This window comes from Homo sapiens, chromosome 8, assembly GCF_000001405.40.
Source record: "Homo sapiens chromosome 8, GRCh38.p14 Primary Assembly".
NCBI lineage: Eukaryota > Metazoa > Chordata > Mammalia > Primates > Hominidae > Homo > Homo sapiens.
This window is the reverse complement of record NC_000008.11, coordinates 53,936,720-53,954,866: the sequence shown is the minus strand read 5'-3', so window position 1 is coordinate 53,954,866 and position 18,147 is coordinate 53,936,720. Positions and strand designations below refer to the sequence as shown.

At 38.0% G+C, this 18,147-nt stretch overlaps 1 protein-coding gene across 6 annotated transcripts in view, besides 5 other annotated features; it reads right to left on the bottom strand.

Moving 5' to 3' along the window:
* Positions 1–18,147, bottom strand: part of RGS20 (regulator of G protein signaling 20) — a 107,509-nt gene that overhangs the window by 4,437 nt on the left and 84,925 nt on the right. For 3 of the 6 annotated variants that reach the window (NM_170587.4, NM_001286673.2, NM_003702.5), the window contains 3 exons: positions 15,143–15,291; positions 8,119–8,202; positions 557–791 (listed from right to left, as the gene is read on the bottom strand). In NM_170587.4, the coding sequence (NP_733466.1) occupies positions 557–791; positions 8,119–8,202; positions 15,143–15,291 (468 nt within the window). The remainder of the gene's footprint in view (positions 1–556; positions 792–8,118; positions 8,203–15,142; positions 15,292–18,147) is intronic. The other 3 variants (NR_104579.2, NM_001286675.2, NM_001286674.2) reach the window with 2 other exon arrangements.
* Positions 9,259–10,458: an enhancer, noted in NCBI's record as "P300/CBP strongly-dependent group 1 enhancer chr8:54856969-54858168 (GRCh37/hg19 assembly coordinates)". NCBI's record gives its function as "activates an origin of replication core promoter dependent on BRD2, BRD4, P300/CBP, MED14 and CDK7 cofactors, with strong dependence on P300/CBP, by STARR-seq in HCT116 cells {active_cell/tissue: HCT116}" and the evidence as "EXISTENCE:reporter gene assay evidence [ECO:0000049][PMID:35650434]".
* Positions 9,474–9,613: an enhancer, noted in NCBI's record as "active region_27368". NCBI's record gives its function as "activates an Ori minimal core promoter by ATAC-STARR-seq in GM12878 lymphoblastoid cells {active_cell/tissue: GM12878}" and the evidence as "EXISTENCE:reporter gene assay evidence [ECO:0000049][PMID:35858748]".
* Positions 9,504–9,798: a silencer, noted in NCBI's record as "tiled region #14152; K562 Repressive non-DNase unmatched - State 1:Tss". NCBI's record gives its function as "represses a minimal TATA promoter and a strong SV40 promoter by Sharpr-MPRA in K562 cells {active_cell/tissue: K562}" and the evidence as "EXISTENCE:reporter gene assay evidence [ECO:0000049][PMID:27701403]".
* Positions 9,504–9,798: an enhancer, noted in NCBI's record as "tiled regions #792 and #14152 (exact overlaps); HepG2 Activating DNase unmatched - State 1:Tss". NCBI's record gives its function as "activates a minimal TATA promoter and a strong SV40 promoter by Sharpr-MPRA in HepG2 cells {active_cell/tissue: HepG2}" and the evidence as "EXISTENCE:reporter gene assay evidence [ECO:0000049][PMID:27701403]".
* Positions 9,624–9,673: an enhancer, noted in NCBI's record as "active region_27367". NCBI's record gives its function as "activates an Ori minimal core promoter by ATAC-STARR-seq in GM12878 lymphoblastoid cells {active_cell/tissue: GM12878}" and the evidence as "EXISTENCE:reporter gene assay evidence [ECO:0000049][PMID:35858748]".

Sequence of the window (18,147 nt, the reverse complement as noted above, 5' to 3'; positions counted from 1 at the left end):
AAAATACAAAAATTAGCCAGGCCTGGTGGTGCGCACCTATAATCCCAGCTACTCTGGAGGCTGAGGCAGGAGAATTGCTTGAACCCGGGAGGCAGAAGTTGCAGTGAGCCAAGATTGCACCATTGCACTCCAGCCTGGGCGACAGAGTGAGACTCCATCTCAAAAAAAAAAAAAAAAGGCAATTACTTTTGTTTAGTTTTTTGAGATGGAGTTTTGCTGTTGTCACCCAGGCTGGAGTGCAATGGCACAATCTCGGCTCACTGCATCCTCTGCCTCCTAGGTTCAAGCGATTCTCCTGCCTCAGCCTCCCAAGTAGCTGGGATTACAGGCGCCCATGACCACACCAGGCTAATTTTTGTATTTTTAGTAGAGACGGGGTTTCACCATGTTGGTCAGGCTGGTCTCCAACTCCTCACCTCAGGTGATCCGCCCGCCTCAGCCTCCCAAAGTGCTGGGATTACAGACGTGAGCCACTGTGCCCGGCCTATGGCAATTACTTTTGCACCAAGTTAATTTTACCAACAGCCTTGGGAAAAGGCATCTCGTGGTCACATACCTCCTTAGGAGAAAGTATAGAAATGTAGTCTTCATAGATTATCCTTGCTTTCTCTTCAATAATGTTTTTATTAGCTTCCTTTTTCAGTTCCTCACAGGCCATCCAGAAGAGCATATTTTCCTCACTGAATTCTGTTCGGAGGAATTCACGGAATGCATTCCTTCCTGCTGGAGTGACCATTAATTTGTCAAATGACTGAGCCCAGGCGTTGACTTCTTCCAGAGTAGGAGCAGGGCTTCGTGGAGACCAAAAGAGAGGGGGCAAAAGGGAACTGTTAGTGGTAGTTAATTGGAATTCATCATTAGGAACATATCTTTTCCTCCTCCAAGAATGAAAAATATATGCATTTAGGCCCTTTTAGGAAGGGAAAGAACTGTTCGCATTTCCTCAAACCTTTGGGAAAAACACATGAATATGATACTTTCAAATTTTTTGCTGGATTGCATACCAAAAGGCTTGCAAACCAAGTTGCTAGAATAAATGCTAAGAACATGCTTGTTTACAAATGGGCACATCTTGAAATATTTTAAAAACTGTAAATGTAAAGAAAAATCCTGCAACCATCTGACCCAAAACTTCCTAATCATCTGTGATGAGTTCTGTACTACGACAGAACTAAGTCAGATTTGACAACATTAAACCTCTGGAACAATAGAGCAAGTGTCTGTTTAATATATTTTAAAATTATATAATATTTGAGAAAGAGAATATATGTAGTATAAGTGCAAGTTATAAATGCCACCGCTGTACTGTCCAAAGGTGACAACAAAATGAACACTTTTTTTTTTTTGAGACAGAGTCTCACTTTGTTGCTGAGGCTAGAGTGCAGTGGTGTGATCACAGCTTACTGAAGCCTCGACTTACTAGGCTCATATGATTCTCTCTCCTTGGCCTCCCAAGTAGCAGACCCTGCAGGCACGTGCCACCACGCCCAGCTAACTTTTTGTATTCTTTGTAGAGTCAGGTCTTACTATGTTGCCTAGGCTGCTCTCAAACTCTTGGGCTCAAGCGATCTGCCCACCTTGGCCTCCCAGAGTGCTGGGATTACAAGTGTGAGCCACTGCGTCTGGCTCACTTTATAAAAAACTTATAAACATTTAAAAACTATAATTAGGGGGTGCAAGTGCACTTTTGTTACATGGATATATTGCACAGTGGTGAAGCCTGTGTTTTTAGTGTAGCCATCAATGGGATAGTGTACATTGTACTCATTAGGTAATTTGTCATCCCTTACCTATCTCCCACCCTCCCATCCACCTTTCCGAGTCTCTAGTGTAAATGAACACTTATGAATGCGCCATTTTCCTTAAGAACCAGAACAGCACTGATAATGTTGCATTTATTTTCGTGCTACTTCTACTTGCTACTGTCTCTTGGCTTTGTCCTCTAGGGAACTGCTATACTTGATTTTGGGCTTACCCCTTTGAGTTAATTCTTACTTCTGTCATAATTATATTGAGATCAGAAAACATAGCTTAATAATGATCCTTAATATCTCTTTTATCTTGTTTCCATAGTTTCAAATGTATGTATGTAATCCTGAAAAATGTAGTCTTTAGTTTTTATTTCTTTATTTTATTTTCTTGAGACAGAGTCTCTCTTTGTTGCCCAGGCTGGAGTACAATGGCACGATCTCGGCTCACTGCAACCTCCGCCTTCCGGGTTCAAGTGATTCTCCTGCCTCAGCCTCCCAAGTAGTTGGGATTACAGGTGCTTACCACCACACCCGGGTAATTTTTTGTATTTTTAGTAGAGATGGCGTTTCACCATGTTGGCCAGGCTGTCTGGAACTCCTGACCTCAGGTGATCCACCCACCTTGGCCTCCCGAAGTGCTGGGATTATAGGTGTGAGCCACTGTGCCCAGCCAGTTTTTTTTTTTAAGTTTATCAAAATGGTTGACTATATGTTGTCTTCTGCAACTTGCTTTTTCCACCCAACATTAAGTTTCTTTTTTCTTTTTTGAGACAGAGTATTGCTCTGTTGCCCAGGCTGGAGTGCAGTGGTGTGATCTCGGCTCACCACAACCTCTGCAATACTCTGTCTCAAAAAAAAAAAAAAAAAAAAATTAGCTGGGCATGGTGGCATGTGCCTGTAATCCCAGCTACTCGGGAGGCTGAGCCAGGAGAATCACTTGAACCCGGGAGGCAGATGTTGCAGTGAGCCGAGATTGCACCACTGCACTCCAGCCTGGGTGACAGAGTAAGACTCTGTCTCAAAAAAATAATAATGATGTAAAATAAAATAAAATAAATGTCAAACATATGAGGATTTTTAGTTCACTTTTTAATTTCTGTTTTTTTAGTCTTACTCTGTTGCCCAGGCTGGAGTGCAGTGGCGCGATCTCGGCTCACTGCAACCTCTGCCTCCCGGGTTCAAGCGATTCTCCTGCCTCAGCCTCCCGACTAGCTGGGATTACAGGTGGGTGCCACCACCCCCAGCTGATTTTTGTATTTTTAGTAGAGACGGAGTTTCACCATGTTGGCCAGGCTGGCCTCAAACTCCCTACCTCAGGTGATCCGCCTGCCTCGGCCTCCCAAAGTGCTGGGATCACAGGCGTGTGCCGCAGTGCTCGGCTTTATTTTTTAATTTCTAACTTCTATTTGAATTATATTGGTGTCAGTACAGTTTGATTAATTATGTTCCTTGAAATTTATTGAGATACTTTATAAGGTAATGCTTGGTCAGTTATCATAACTGTTCATGTTTGCTTGAGAAGGATATATATTTTCAAATGTTTAAATCCAAGTTTTTGTAAATGACCAATAAATATAGCTTATTAATTAATTTCTCCCTGTTTCTTTTTTTCTTTTTCTTTTTTTCTGATACAGGGTATCACTGTGTTGCCCAGGCTGGAGTGTAGTGGTGTGATCATGGCTCACTGCAGCCTCAACCTCCTGGGCTCAATTGACTCTCCCACCTCAGCCTCTAGAGCAGCTGGGACTGCAGGCACGCACCATCACAGCCAGCTAAATTTTTTTGTATTTTTTTGTAGAGATGAGATTTTGTCATGTTGCTCAGGCTGGTCTCAAACTCCTGGACTCAAGCTTTCCCCCATCCTTGGTCTCCCAAAGTGCTGGGACTACAGGCAGGAGCCACTGTGCCTGGCCCAAATTTCTATAATTTGTCTAAAATTTCTATCTGTTAGAAATATCAGTAACTAAGAAAGGAATGTGGCAATCTCCCTCTATCGTTAGCAGATTTGTAAATGTCTTGCTCTAGCAATTTTTGCTTTTGATGTTTGAGATTATTTTATTAGGTACATACAAGTTGTTACACTTTCCTAGTAAGCTAAATCATTTAACGTTCTAGTAGTGACTTGCTCTGTCTCTAAAGTGCTTTAAAATTTTTTAAAGTCTATTTTGTTTACTGCTAGTATGGGGAAGAAGTATAGATTAGTGGATAAAAACAGACTCTGGCCTGTAATCCCAGCACTTTGGGAGGCTGAGGTGGACAGATCACTTGAGCTCAGGAGTTTGAGACCAACCTGGGCAACATGGTGAAACCCCGTCTCTACTAAAAATACAAAAATTAGCCAAGTGTGGTGGCCCATGCCTGTAGTCCCAGGTACTCGGGAGGCTGAGGCAGGAGAATCACTTGAACACAGGAGGCAGAGGTTGCAGTGAGCCAAGATCGTGCCACCGCATGCCAGCCTGGGTGACAGAATGAGACCCTGTCTAAAAAAAAAAAAACAAAACATTAATGTCAATTCTTATCATTCTATCCTCCATTTATTTTAACTTATTTTTATATAGGTTGAACATCCAAAATTCAAAAATCTAAAATCCATATTGCTCCAAAATCTGAAACTTTTTGAGCATTGACATGACACTCAAAGGAAATGCTCATTGGAATAATTTGAAGTTTTGGACTTGGGATGTTCAACTGGTAAGTATAATGCAAATATTCCGAAATCTGAAAAAATCTGAAATCTGAGACATTTCTAGTTCCAAGCATTTTGGATAAGGGAAACTCAAACTGTATTTCAATCTCCTTGTTACGTGGGTCTTTTTGGATACCTTCAGGTTCACTAATTATTTATTTAGTTGTATCTAATCTTCTATTTCAATCATCAATTTTTTTAAAATTTGAACAATAATATTTGATTTTTAAAACTTCTATTTTATTTCTTTTCAAATCTTCCAGGTCATTTCTTAAAGAAATGTGTTAACACGCTGGGCGTAGTGGCTCACGCTTGTAATCCTAGCACTTTGGGAGAACGAGGTGGGCGAATCACCTGAGGTCAGGAGTTCGAGACCAGCCTGGCCAATATGGGGAAACCCCATCTCTACTAAAAATACAAAAATTAGCTGGGCATGGTGGTGGGCGCCTGTAATCCCAGTTACTTGGGAGGCTAAGGCATGAGAATCGCTTGAACCCAGGAGGCAGAGGTTGCAGTGAGTCAAGATTGCACCACTGTACTCCAGCCTGGGTGACAGAGCTAGACTCCATCTCAAAAAAAAAAAAGAAATGTGTTAACAGTGTTTACTCTCTTAGAGGTTAGACCACTTTCTTTACTTATATACCATTAAATTTTTGGCAAGCATCTATAGCTTTTTCTTTCTCCCTCTCCCTTTATTGATTGATTGATTGATTGAGGCAGAGTCTTGCTCTGTCTCCTAGGCTGGGGTGCAGTGGTGCAATCTTGGCTCACTGCAACCTCTGCCTCCAGTGTTCAAGCAATTCTCCCTGCCTCAACCTTCCAAACAGCTGGGATTACAGGCGTTTGCCACCACGCCCCGCTAATTTTTGTATTTTAATAGAAAAGGGGTTTCACCATGTCAGCCAGGCTGGTCTCAAACTCCTGACCTCAGGTGATCCGCATGCTTTGACCTTCCAAAGTGCTGGGATTACAGGTGTGAGCCACCGTGCCCACCCACCGTATATTATATAATATACTTTTATTTTTAAAATATAACTGTTTCATGTTTGCTTGAGAAGGATATATATTTTCAAATGTTTAAATCCAAGTTTTTGTAAATGACCAATAAATATATATACTGTATCTTATATATAGTATATATAAATATATACTGTATCTTATATATAGTATATATAAATATATACTGTATCTTATATATAGTATATATAAATATATACTGTATCTTATATAGCATATATAAATATATACTGTATCTTATATAGCATATATAAATATATACTGTATCTTATATAGCATATATAAATATATACTGTATCTTATATAGCATATATAAATATATACTGTATCTTATATAGCATATATAAATATATACTGTATCTTATATAGCATATATAAATATATACTGTATCTTATATAGCATATATAAATATATACTGTATCTTATATAGCATATGTAAATATGTACTGTATCTTATATAGCATATGTAAATATGTACTGTATCTTATATAGCATATGTAAATATGTACTGTATCTTATATAGCATATGTAAATATGTACTGTATCTTATATAGCATATGTAAATATGTACTGTATCTTATATAGCATATGTAAATATGTACTGTATCTTATATAGCATATGTAAATATGTACTGTATCTTATATAGCATATGTAAATATGTACTGTATCTTATATAGCATATGTAAATATGTACTGTATCTTATATAGCATATGTAAATATGTACTGTATCTTATATAGCATATGTAAATATGTACTGTATCTTATATATAGCATATGTAAATATGTACTGTATCATATATAGCATATGTAAATATGTACTGTATCATATATAGCATATGTAAATATGTACTGTATCATATATAGCATATGTAAATATATACTGTATCATATATAGCATATGTAAATATATACTGTATCATATATAGCATATGTAAATATATACTGTATCATATATAGCATATGTAAATATATACTGTATCTTATATATAGCATATGTAAATATATACTGTATCTTATATATAGCATATATAAATATATACTGTGTCTTATATATAGCATATATAAATATATACTGTCTTATATATAGCATATGTATATATACTGTATCATATATCGTATATATAAATATATATACTATAACTTACATATAGTATATATACTATCATATATATAGCATATATAAATATATATACTATCTTATATATAGCATATGTAAATATATATACTATATCATATATATAGCATATATAAATATATATACTATATCATATATATAGCATATATATACTACATCTTATATATAGCATATATATACTACATCTTATATATAGCATATATAAATATATATACTATATCCTACATATAGCATATATACTTATATATAGTATATATACTATCATATATATAGCATATATAAATATATATACTATCTTATATATAGCATATGTAAATATATATACTATATCTTATATATATAGCATATGTAAATATATATACTATATCATATATATAGCATATATATACTACATCTTATATATAGCATATATAAATGTATATACTATATCCTATATATAGCATATATAAATGTATATACTATATCCTATATATAGCATATATAAATGTATATACTATATCCTATATATAGCATATATAAATGTATGTACTATATCCTATATATAGCATATATAAATGTATGTACTATATCCTATATATAGCATATATAAATGTATGTACTATATCCTATATATAGCATATATAAATGTATGTACTATATCCTATATATAGCATATATAAATGTATGTACTATATCCTATATATAGCATATATAAATGTATATACTATATCCTATATAGCATATATAAATGTATATACTATATCCTATATAGCATATATAAATGTATATACTATATCCTATATAGCATATATAAATGTATATACTATATCTTATATATAGCATATATAAATGTATATACTATATCATATATAGCATATATAAATGTACTATATCTTATATATAGCATATATAAATATACTATATCTTATATATAGCATATATAATATATATACTATCTTATATATAGCATATATAATATATATACTATATCTTATATAGCATGTATAAATATATATGCTATATCTTATATAGCATGTATAAATAAATATGCTATATCTTATATAGCATGTATAAATAAATATGCTATATCTTATATAGCGTGTATAAATATGCTATATCTTATATAGAGTGTATAAATATATATACTATATCATATATATAGCATATATAAGTATATATGCTGTATTTTATATATAGTATATATAAATATATATGCTATATCTTATATAAAATTATATGATATACTTTTATTTTTAAAAGTATATTATATAAAAATAAAATAACATAATATGTTTTGTTAGGAAGAATCTATTTGTATTTGCAATTAGCAAAGGGATTAGACTAATAATGGAACTGATTTCTCTCCCTGTCACACGATGAATTAAATGGAATTCTGCAGGGGAGGAATGCGAGGCCACATAATGATTGGATATTACTAAATTACAGTTAGAGAAAGTATGTGTTCTGTTGAAACATACAAGGCAAAGAAAAGAAAGAGGTTAGTATTTCTGTTAGTTTAGTGAGGTAAAAAAAACGTGTGATTTCACCTTTCTTCCCAGGTTGGAAGATCTGCTCTGAGTTCGTGGGAAGCTATTGTGGGCCTCTGATCTTCCTGGTTTCTAACAGTGAGACTGCAAAAAAAAGACATTCACATGTTGACAGCTCAGTCCCTGCCAAGAAAAGATTTTTTACAAATACTTTAAAGAGAACTTCAGATCCCCAAGTATTAATAGAATTTCTTCCTCTACTTGGAAAAAAAAATGACCCCAGTTAGTTTTCCCAAGCAAACCAAAAGTGTGACAATAAGGTACTAGAAATATAAATAAACGTTGTGGTTTCTACTATTGAGAAAGAGTTAGAAATTATTGTGTTCAATTATACTTAGAATAATGATTTTTTAAATAAAAACATTCATTAGAAAATAGTAAAAAAGGGTTCGGCGCGGTGGCTCATGCCTGTAACCCCAGCACTTTGGGAGGCCAAGGCAGGAGGATCACTTGAGGCCAGGAGTTTAAGACCAGCCTGGGCATCATAGCGAGACCCTGTCTCTATTTAATACAAAAATTAAAAAAATGAAAATAGTAAAAAAGTAAGACTGTCAGGAATGTATTGGGGTTTCATTTCATTTTCTGCATCTTAAAAAGTATACATCCTCTAGGCTTTGTTTCCAGTCAAAATGGAGGCTTCATATATTTATAGGCAAATATACAAAAGTAGTAGAGAAAAATAAAGTGCATAATCAAAATCTATTGTATTTCTCTAAAGAGTTTGTTTTCTTATACACATTCTGTACATTTGTCTGTAAACTTATTCCAAGTATTTTTGTTGTTATCGTAAATGGAATTTGTACTTTTATCTCATCTTGTAACTGGTTATTGTTGTAATATGAATGCTATTTTTTTTTTTTTGGAGACCAAGTCTTGCTCTGCTGCCCAGGCTGCAGTGCTGTGGCGCAATCTCAGCTCACTGCAACCAAGCGATTCTTGTGCCTCAGTCTCCTGAGTAGCTGGGACTACAGGCATGTGCCAACACGCCCGGCTACTTTTTGTATTTGGTTTCACCATGTTGGCCAGGCTGGTTTCAAACTCCTAACCTCAAGTGATCCACCCACCTGGACCTCCCAAAGTGCTGGGATTACAGGCATGAGCCACCGTGCCCGGCCACTTTCTTAATCACTTTATTGAGCTATCATTCATATGCCGTCAAGTTTATCTGTTTAAAGTGTACAATTCAGTGGTTTTTAGTATACTCACAAAGTTGTGCAACCATCCCTACTATCTAATTCCAGAACATTGTCATCACCCCCAAAAGAAACCCCACCAGTAAGCAGTCACTGCTTATCACCTGTATCTCCCCACTCTACCGGCCCTAGGCAAGCACGAATCCGCTTCCTGTCTCTATAGATTTGCCTGTTGTGGAGCATACCGTATGTGATCTTTGCTGGCTGTCTCCTTTCACTTGGCGTAATGTTTTTGCACTTAGCCCATGCCGTAGCATGTATCGGCACTTCATTTCTTTTTCCAGTTGAATAATATCTCATTGTTTGGATAGACACATCACATTTCGTTTGTCCATTCATCAGCAGATAGACATTCGGGTTGTTTCCACATTTTGGCTGCATGAATCATGCTGCTATGCACATTCCTGTGCAAGTACGTGCGAACATATATTTGTGTTTCTCTCAAGTAGAAACCTCGGAGTAGAACTGCTGAGTCATATGGTAACTTGAGTTTTAACATTTTGAGGAACTCCCAAACTGTTTTACAAGGCAATTGCACCATTTCACATGGTAATATTTGAGGGATCCAATTTCTCCATGTCCTTGCCAACAGTTACTGTTGTCTTTTTTATTCTAGCTTCATAAGTGGGTGAGAAGTGGTATTTCATTGTGGTTTTGATTTGCATCTTGCTAATGACTACTGATGTGGAACATCTTTTCATGCATTTACTAGCTATTTGTACATCTTTGGAGAGATGTGTGTTCAGATGTTTTGACCATTTCTAAATTGATTTATTTGCATTTTATTATTGAAATGGAAGTGTTCTTCATTTTAAGACCTGAAGCCTACAGAGTATTATTTTAATGATAATTTTATATCCTTCTTATTTCTGAATTCTTCTGTATTTGTATCAGTTATAGCTATAATTCTCTTCGGGTTTCATCTGCAAATAGGAAGAATTTTACCTATTTCCAATTCTCAGGCCTCTAATTTTCTTGTCTAATTAGCTAACACCTAAAATACTTTTTTTTTTTTTTTGAGACGGGGTCTTGCTCTGTCTCCCAGGCTGGAGTGCAATGGCGTGATCTCAGCTCCCTACAACCTCCGCCTCCCGGGTTTAAGTGATTCTCCTCCCTCAGCCTCCTGAGTAGCTGGGACTACAGGCGCGCACCACCACACCCAGCTAATTTTTGTATTTTTAGTAGAGACGGGGTTTCACTATGTTGGTCCTGCTGGTCTTGAATTGCTGACCTTGTGATCTGCCCGCCTCGGCCTCCCAAAGTGTTGGGATTACAGGCGTGAGCCATCGCGCCTGGCCAAATACATTGTTAAATAGTAGTAGAGATTGTGGACATTTTGCCTTATTCATGATTTTTGCAGGAATGCTTTCAGCATCCCATCAACATGAAAATGGATTTTATCACTGACAATTTGGGTTTTCTTTATCTTGTTGCTACTGTATTTTCTATATTCTTTATTATATCTTTTCTTAACACTATTTTATAAAAGTTTTTCAGCCTGTTTTTAGCACAACTGTTTTATAAATTTTCAGTGTGTGTGTGTGTGTGTGTGTGTGTGTAGCTCTATTTTTCTTTAAAGGCAAAATCATTAGAAATGCAGGAACCCTTTTGACTTCTTTCTTTCATGATGTCAGGGCTAAATAGTTTCAGTAAATAATGGCTTCTTTAAAAAAAAATCCAACCAAAAAAAACTTGAGAGGCATCTGAGTGGTACGCTCTCTGCATGACTTCCGAGGCTTCTTTTGTAAGCAAAACACATTACTGCTCAGTGGGTATGAAAAAGCAGAGGAAAAAAGAGATGAATTTGACAGGAGTTCCTCAGAGAACCAGAAGCTGTACTGCAAACTAAATAATGCAAACTTATTTCAGCTTTGATATACTTTTTCCCTCATTTCAAGTAAGAATGTTTTAAAGAGACAATGTGGTTTTGAAAAAGAGAAGAATTTTTTTTTGTGAAGTTTTCTTTACCTCGGTCCACTGTTATTGTTACAGCAGACCTAGAAGATGTCTATAGTAGCCAAGATAGTTGCTCGCTGTGTTTTAGGAAGTTTCAGTAAAAGAAGACCCATGGCCAGATATATTTTGGTAAAATTTTGAGTGATAAAGAGAAAACTTACTAGAAAGGAAAAAAACTTTATATTCAACTGAACAAGAATCAGCATGCCTTCCCTTATAACACTAAATACCAGAAGGCCTTACAGCAAAATGTTGAGAAAGATTCACAAGTACTTAGAAAAGAAATTGCCATTTACTTTTCTTGAAAATTGACTTGACTATGTATATTAATATGGATAAATCTCAAAAGTGTGGTGAAAAAAAACAAGGAAATTCACTATTAAAACAGTTGAAGTTTGCTGTGTACTTTTCCCCATCTCATTTCTTCCTCTCTTTACCCTAGAGAGAGCCACCATTTTTAACTTACTGTTTACCATTCCAATTCATAATTATGCTACTATATTATATTCATAAACATATTTTTAAACATAGTATAAATGTAATTATGTAACATGTATTGCTTTATAATTTTTTTTCCCTCTAGCATATGAATTTATTTATTTCTGAGACAAGGTCTCACTCTGTTGCCCAGGCTGGAGTGCAGTAGCATGATCATAGCTCACTGCAGCCTTGAACTCCTGGGTTCAAGTGATCCTTCCACCTCAGCTTCTAGAGTAGCTGGGACTACAGGCACATGCCACCATGCCGGGCTAACTTTTTTTTTTTTTTTTTTTAGTGGAGACATGGTCTCGCTGTGTTGCCCCAGCTGGTCTCGAACTCCTGGGCTCAAACAATCCTTCTGCCTTGGCCTCCCAAAGTGCTGGGATTACAGGCATAAGCCACCACGCCTAACTTATTTATTTGTTTAGTTTTGTTTTTCTAGTATATGAATTTAAGTGCTGTATGGTAGTGGATTGTATAACTATACCACAATATATTCATCCATTCTCCTGTCTATACCCTTTAGAACCATTTTAAATTTTTCTCACTCAGATGAATGCTGTAGTGAATCTTCTCATACATGTCTCCTTTTTTTGCAGGGGTGTGAGAAGTTTTTCCAGGGTATAGGTTTTTCTTTTCTTTTTTTTTTGTTTTTGTTTTTCAGACAGAGTCTCACTCTGTTACACACACTGGAGTGCAATGGCACAATCATCATTCACTGCAGCCTCAACCTCCCTGGGCTCAAGCGATCCTCCCACCTCAGCCTCCTGAGTAGCTGGGACTACAGGTGTGCGCCACCATGCCTGGCTAATTTTTGTGTTTTATTTTTTATTTATTTATTTTTTTGAGATGGAGTTTTGCTCTTGTTGCCCAGGCTGAAGTGCAATGGTGCAATCTCGGCTCACCGAAACCTCTGCCTCCCAGGTTCAAGCGATTCTCCTGCCTCAGCCTCCTGAGTAGCTGGGATTATGGGCATGTGCCCCCATGCCTGACTAATTTTGTATTTTTAGTAGAAACGAGTTTTCTCCATGTTGGTAGGGCTGGTCTCGAACTCCCGACCTCATGTGATCTGCCGGCCTCGGCCTCCCAAAGTGCTGGGATTACAGGCGTGAGCCACCGCACCCAGCTGATCTTTTTTTTAAGGTGGGAATTGATTTTTGTATATGGTGCTATGTAGGAATATAAATACATTTTTATATATTTGGATACCAAGCAGGATGACCAATTTTCCTGGTTTGCCTAGGGTTTTCAGGTTTTCTGGGCTATGGGACCTTTCAGTGCTAAAACTGAGAAAGTCCTATCAGTGGGGATGAGTTGGTACCCAAATACCAAGTATCCTGCTATTTACTGAATAGTTCATTTTCTCCTTTGCTGATGTCACTTTTATCACGTGTTGGTAAGGTTTTCTAGATTTATTGTCTTTCACTGATGTTAAAACTATAGGGTGTATTTTTGGACTAATTATGAATAACATTACTTTTGAAAGAAAATTTTCTTTTAATAATTTTTTCTAAGAAAGTCTGAATTATTTGATTGTATGTCATTGACATGAGATTGTTTACAGCTTTGGTTTCACACTTTTTAACACAAAATTCATTGCCACATTTTATATCAATATTTGACCCCGTTGTATCTATGATTGTTACTTGTTTCCTGAGTCTTTCCTCTGGGTTCCCTTTTTTTCCTCTGAAGTAGGCCCTTTCTTCGGTTCTTTTAGGTTTGCAGGCAGTAAACTCGGTTGGCCTTCGTATGTCTGAGAATGTCTTATTTTACCCACACTCTTGAATTATGGTTTGACGGAGTTTTCAGTTACTTTTCTCCAGCACTTTGAAGATATTGCTCTATTGTCTCTTCTACACACACCTAAGTACTACAGAAGTGTTGGCTATGATGGTGATGATAGTGTCTTAGGTACAGATACTTATTTTATTCGTCCTACTTGTTACCTGTAGGAGGAGCCTGCTCTGGGACCTGACCCGCCCTCTAGCCTTACACTATCCCGGGACAATACGTTGTTCAGGTCAGCATGTCAGCCGCCTCCCACACCCTGCGTGAGGCAGCAGAGAAAGGAGGGAGCGGAAGGTTTGAACGTCAGCTGGAGTCTCACCTGCACCTGGACATCCTGCACATCTCTAGGAGGATGGTCTCATTTCCCCACTGAGACCTACTGGCAGAGTGAGAATATAGGCCCCTAAATGCAGTCTGGCCATCACTGGTGTCTTCCTCCTTTAGGGCAGGCCCTGGACACCCACGTGTTTCCTCTGCCCACCACCAGCGCCTCTCCTCTGGCTTCCTGCAGAGCTGTCCAGATTCCTACCAGGGGCTGAAGTCTCACCTTGACACTGCCTAGCTCTTGTCAGCCCCATGGCCACGTTTCCTCTTGCTGTGGGAATGAAGAGACCATCGGTATCGGGATCCCCTTGGTGGATGTTCTATTGCTGTGTCCCTTCCACCAGATTGGAACTTCTTGGAAATGAATACTAGCCTGAGTTGGGCAGGAGCCACCAAACTTCCCCGGGCATTTCATTTTCAACTCCACTCTCCTCCCCAGGGATCAGTTCTGTTAGTTCCATTTCACGGTTCGTGATCAGTCCATTATCAGTTTTTCTTCTCTTCCAGCAGACAGTGAGGTCTTGGTCTAACTTACTGCCAAGCCTACATAAATTTAGGATGATTTGATTGCTGAAAGTGGTTCACAAACTTGGCTGGCACTAAGCACTTTTCATATCCAAGATTCCAAAGATGTAACCTAAAGTTCCCATGATTTTTAGGTGTAAATTATCTCCTTTTCTCCAGACCTTTAACAGCTACTCAAAGGGTCACAGATGTTTTACATTCAAGTCGTTTCTTTCCTTTTTAAAGCAATGACTGTCTGTGTGTCTTCCTCTACCCAGTAAGTTAGCATATATTTTAATATTTCTCTCTCTTTAAAACACATATTTTGACATTTCTCTTTATTACAAAACAAAATTTATGAAATGGAAGCAGCAGAAGGTAAAATCCAGGCTCCCTCTACTTCATCGCCCTAACCTTTAAGACCTATCTTAGATCCTAAGCCTTCATTACCACAGGAGTGCCTCGAGTCCAATTCTTTCTAACCATTTCTGCCCAAATGTTGATAGTCAATCGTGAACCGCCTGAGGTTGTTCTTTAGTTGTTTAACACACGTTGGCCTGATTTGAGGGATCTGAGCATAAACCCCTTGAGAGCTAGACAGATGCAGCCTGTTGTTATTTCTTGGGTGTCCCTGTGTGTCAGGCATATAGTAGTTGCTTAAAAAACACTTATTGAATTAACCATAAGCTGCCACCACTTTCAGGGGTGCCACGTCCCAGTCAGGAGCACATTACACTTCCCAGTCAGGAGCACATTCATTAAAAAGCCCCAAACCTTACCACGAGCAGCTACAACAGCAGCACCAGCAGAAGCAGCATGCGTTGGACCCGCGACTCCCCGCTCCGGGCTGGCCTGGGGCGGCGCCTGGTGTGTCCTGGGCGGCGGGCATCTGCCGCTTCCGCATCTCCATCCGCTCTGATCCCATCTGCTGCAAGAGGGAGAGGAACAAAGCGGGCGGGAGGGGGTTCCAGCGTTATGAAGGCGTAAGCCCAGGGAGTCAGCTGTTTGGATCATTGAAAAGATACAGTGCGACTACATTCAGGTCATTTTTGCTACTTCTCGTAAAATTTAGTGCTTAGAATCTTAGGATCAATTAATGTATCCAACATGTAACGCTTATCCTCTGCCAAGCATTGAGATACATTCCAGGGATAAACTAGCAGATGGAAGGCCCCTCCTTAGGCGCTCACAGTTCAGTAAAGGAGACAGAGACACACGCACTGAAGACTCTGCAGTCAGTGCTACGCAGGGCCGTTCCCAGCTCCAGGCATCCCTGTGGCCTGAACCAAAGGGGGACAGGGATGGTGGCAGCTTCATGACGCTGCCTGTGAGGCCAACGCTCAGATATGGGAGGAGGTCAACATGGGAAGGGCGGCCCAGCTAATACAGCAGGCTGACGAGAGGTCAGAAGAGGAGGTGAGTCCTGGATGCCAGAGTGGCCTGAGTCACATCTTTCCTAGCTGCGTCACCTTGCAGAAGTGATTGAAATTGGGACGTGGAAGCATTCAGAACCCCGCCTGGTACAGAGCAATTGCTCAATTATTCCCAGGAAGCCAGGCAGGAGAGCCAGACTGTGGCCTGCCCGGACCTGTCTTTCCGTACCAGGGATGGTCACCCTCACCTACTTCAATGGAGGCCAAGCCATACGACACAAAAGATCTGTGCCCTTCAGCCTCTGCCCTGTTGTTGGGGACTCCAAGAATGTGAAAGAAGAGAGATATAAAAGCAGCATGAGAAGCAAGAAATTGCTAAGCCCATTTTACGTTGGATACTATCACTTGATGGAGCTAATTGCAAGCTAATATCAAGGACACATTAAAGAACCATAAATAAGACTTTAGAATTAATTTCTGGATCTATTATTCTATTTCAACATTAGATTTGTCTGTTCCTATTGATTATTACCTAATTCTCTATACTGCTGGACTTTGTTCTAATTATTTTATTTATTTTTATTTTTTAAATTATACTTTAAGTTCTGGGACACATGTGCAAAACCTGAAGGTTTGTTACATAGGTACATAGGTATACACGTGCCATAGTGGTTTGCTGCACCCATCAATCCGTCATCTACATTAAGTATTTCTCCTAATGCTATCCCTCCCTTAGTCCCCCATCCACTGACAGGCCCCAGTGTGTGATGTTCCTCTCCCTGTGTCCATGTGTTTTCATTGTTTAATTCCCACTTATGAGCGAGAACATTCAGTTTTTGGTTTTCTGTTCTTGTGTTAGTTTGCTGAGAATGACGGTTTCCGGCTTCATCCATGTCCCTGCAAAGGACATGAACTCATCCTGTTTAATGGCTGCATAGAATTCCATGGTGTATATGTGCCACATTTTCTTTATCCAGTCTATCATTGATGGGCATTTGGGTTGGTTCAAGTCTTTGCTACTGTGAACAGTGCCTCAATAAACATATGTGTACATGTGTCTTTATAGTAGAATGATTTCTAATCCTTTGGGTATATACCCAGTAATGGGATTGCTGGGCCAAATGGTATTTCTGGTTCTAGATCCTTGAGGAATCATCACACTGTCTCCCACAATGATTGAACTAATTTACACTCCCACTAACAGTGTAAAAGCATTCCTATTTCTCCACATCCTCTCCAGCATCTGTTGTTACCTAACTTTTTAATCATTGCCATTCTAACTGGCATGAGACGGTATCTCATTGTGGTTTTGATTTGCATTTCTCTAACGACCAGTGATGATGAGCTTTTTTTCATGTGTCTTTTGGCTGCATAAATGTTTTCTTTTGAGAAGTGTCTATTTGTATCCTTTGCCCACTTTTTGATGGGGTTGTTTGTTTTTTTCTTGTAAATTTGTTTAACTTCCTTGTAGATTCTGGATATTAGCCCTTTGTCAGATGAGTAGGTTGCAAAAATTTTCTCCCATTCTGTAGGTTGCCTGTTCACTCTGATGATAGTTTCTTTTGCTGTGCAGAAGTTCTTTAGTTTAATTAGATCCCATTTGTCAATTTTTGCTTTTATTACCATTGCTTTTGGTGTTTTAGTCATGAAGTCTTTGCTCATGCCTATGTCCTGAATGGTATTGCCTGGGTTTTCTTCTAGGGTTTTTATGGTTTTAGGTCTTATGTCTAAGTCTTTAATCCATCTTGATTTAACTTTTGTATAAGGTGTAAGGAAGGGGTCCAATTTCAGTTTTCTTTTTTTATTTTATTTTTATGTTTATTTATTTATTTATTTATTATTATACTTTAAGTTCTAGGGTACATGTGCACAACGTGCAGGTTTGTTACATATGTATACATGTGCCATGTTGGTATGCTTCACCCGTTAACTCATCATTTACATTAGGTATATCTCCTAATGCTATCCTTCCCCTCTCCCCCCAACTCCACGACAGGCCCTGGTGTGTGATGTTCCCCACCCTGTGTCCAAGTGTTTTCATTGTTCAATTCCCACCTATGAGTGAGAACCCAATTTCAGTTTTCTGCATATGGCTAGCCAGTTTTCCCAACACCATTTATTAAATAGGGAATCCTTTCCCCATGGCTTGTTTTTGTCAGGTTTGTCAAAGATCAGATGGTTGTAGATGTGTGGTGTTATTTCTGAGGCCTCTGTTCTGTTCCATTGGTCTATATATCTGTTTTGGTACCAGTACCATGCTGTTTTGGTTACTACAACATTGTAGTATAGTTTAAAGTCAGGTAGCGTGATGCCTCCAGCTTTGTTCTTTTTGCTTGGGATTGTCTTGGCTATACAAACTCTTTTTTGGTTCCATATGAAATTTAAAGTAGTTTTTTCCTGTGAAGAAAGTC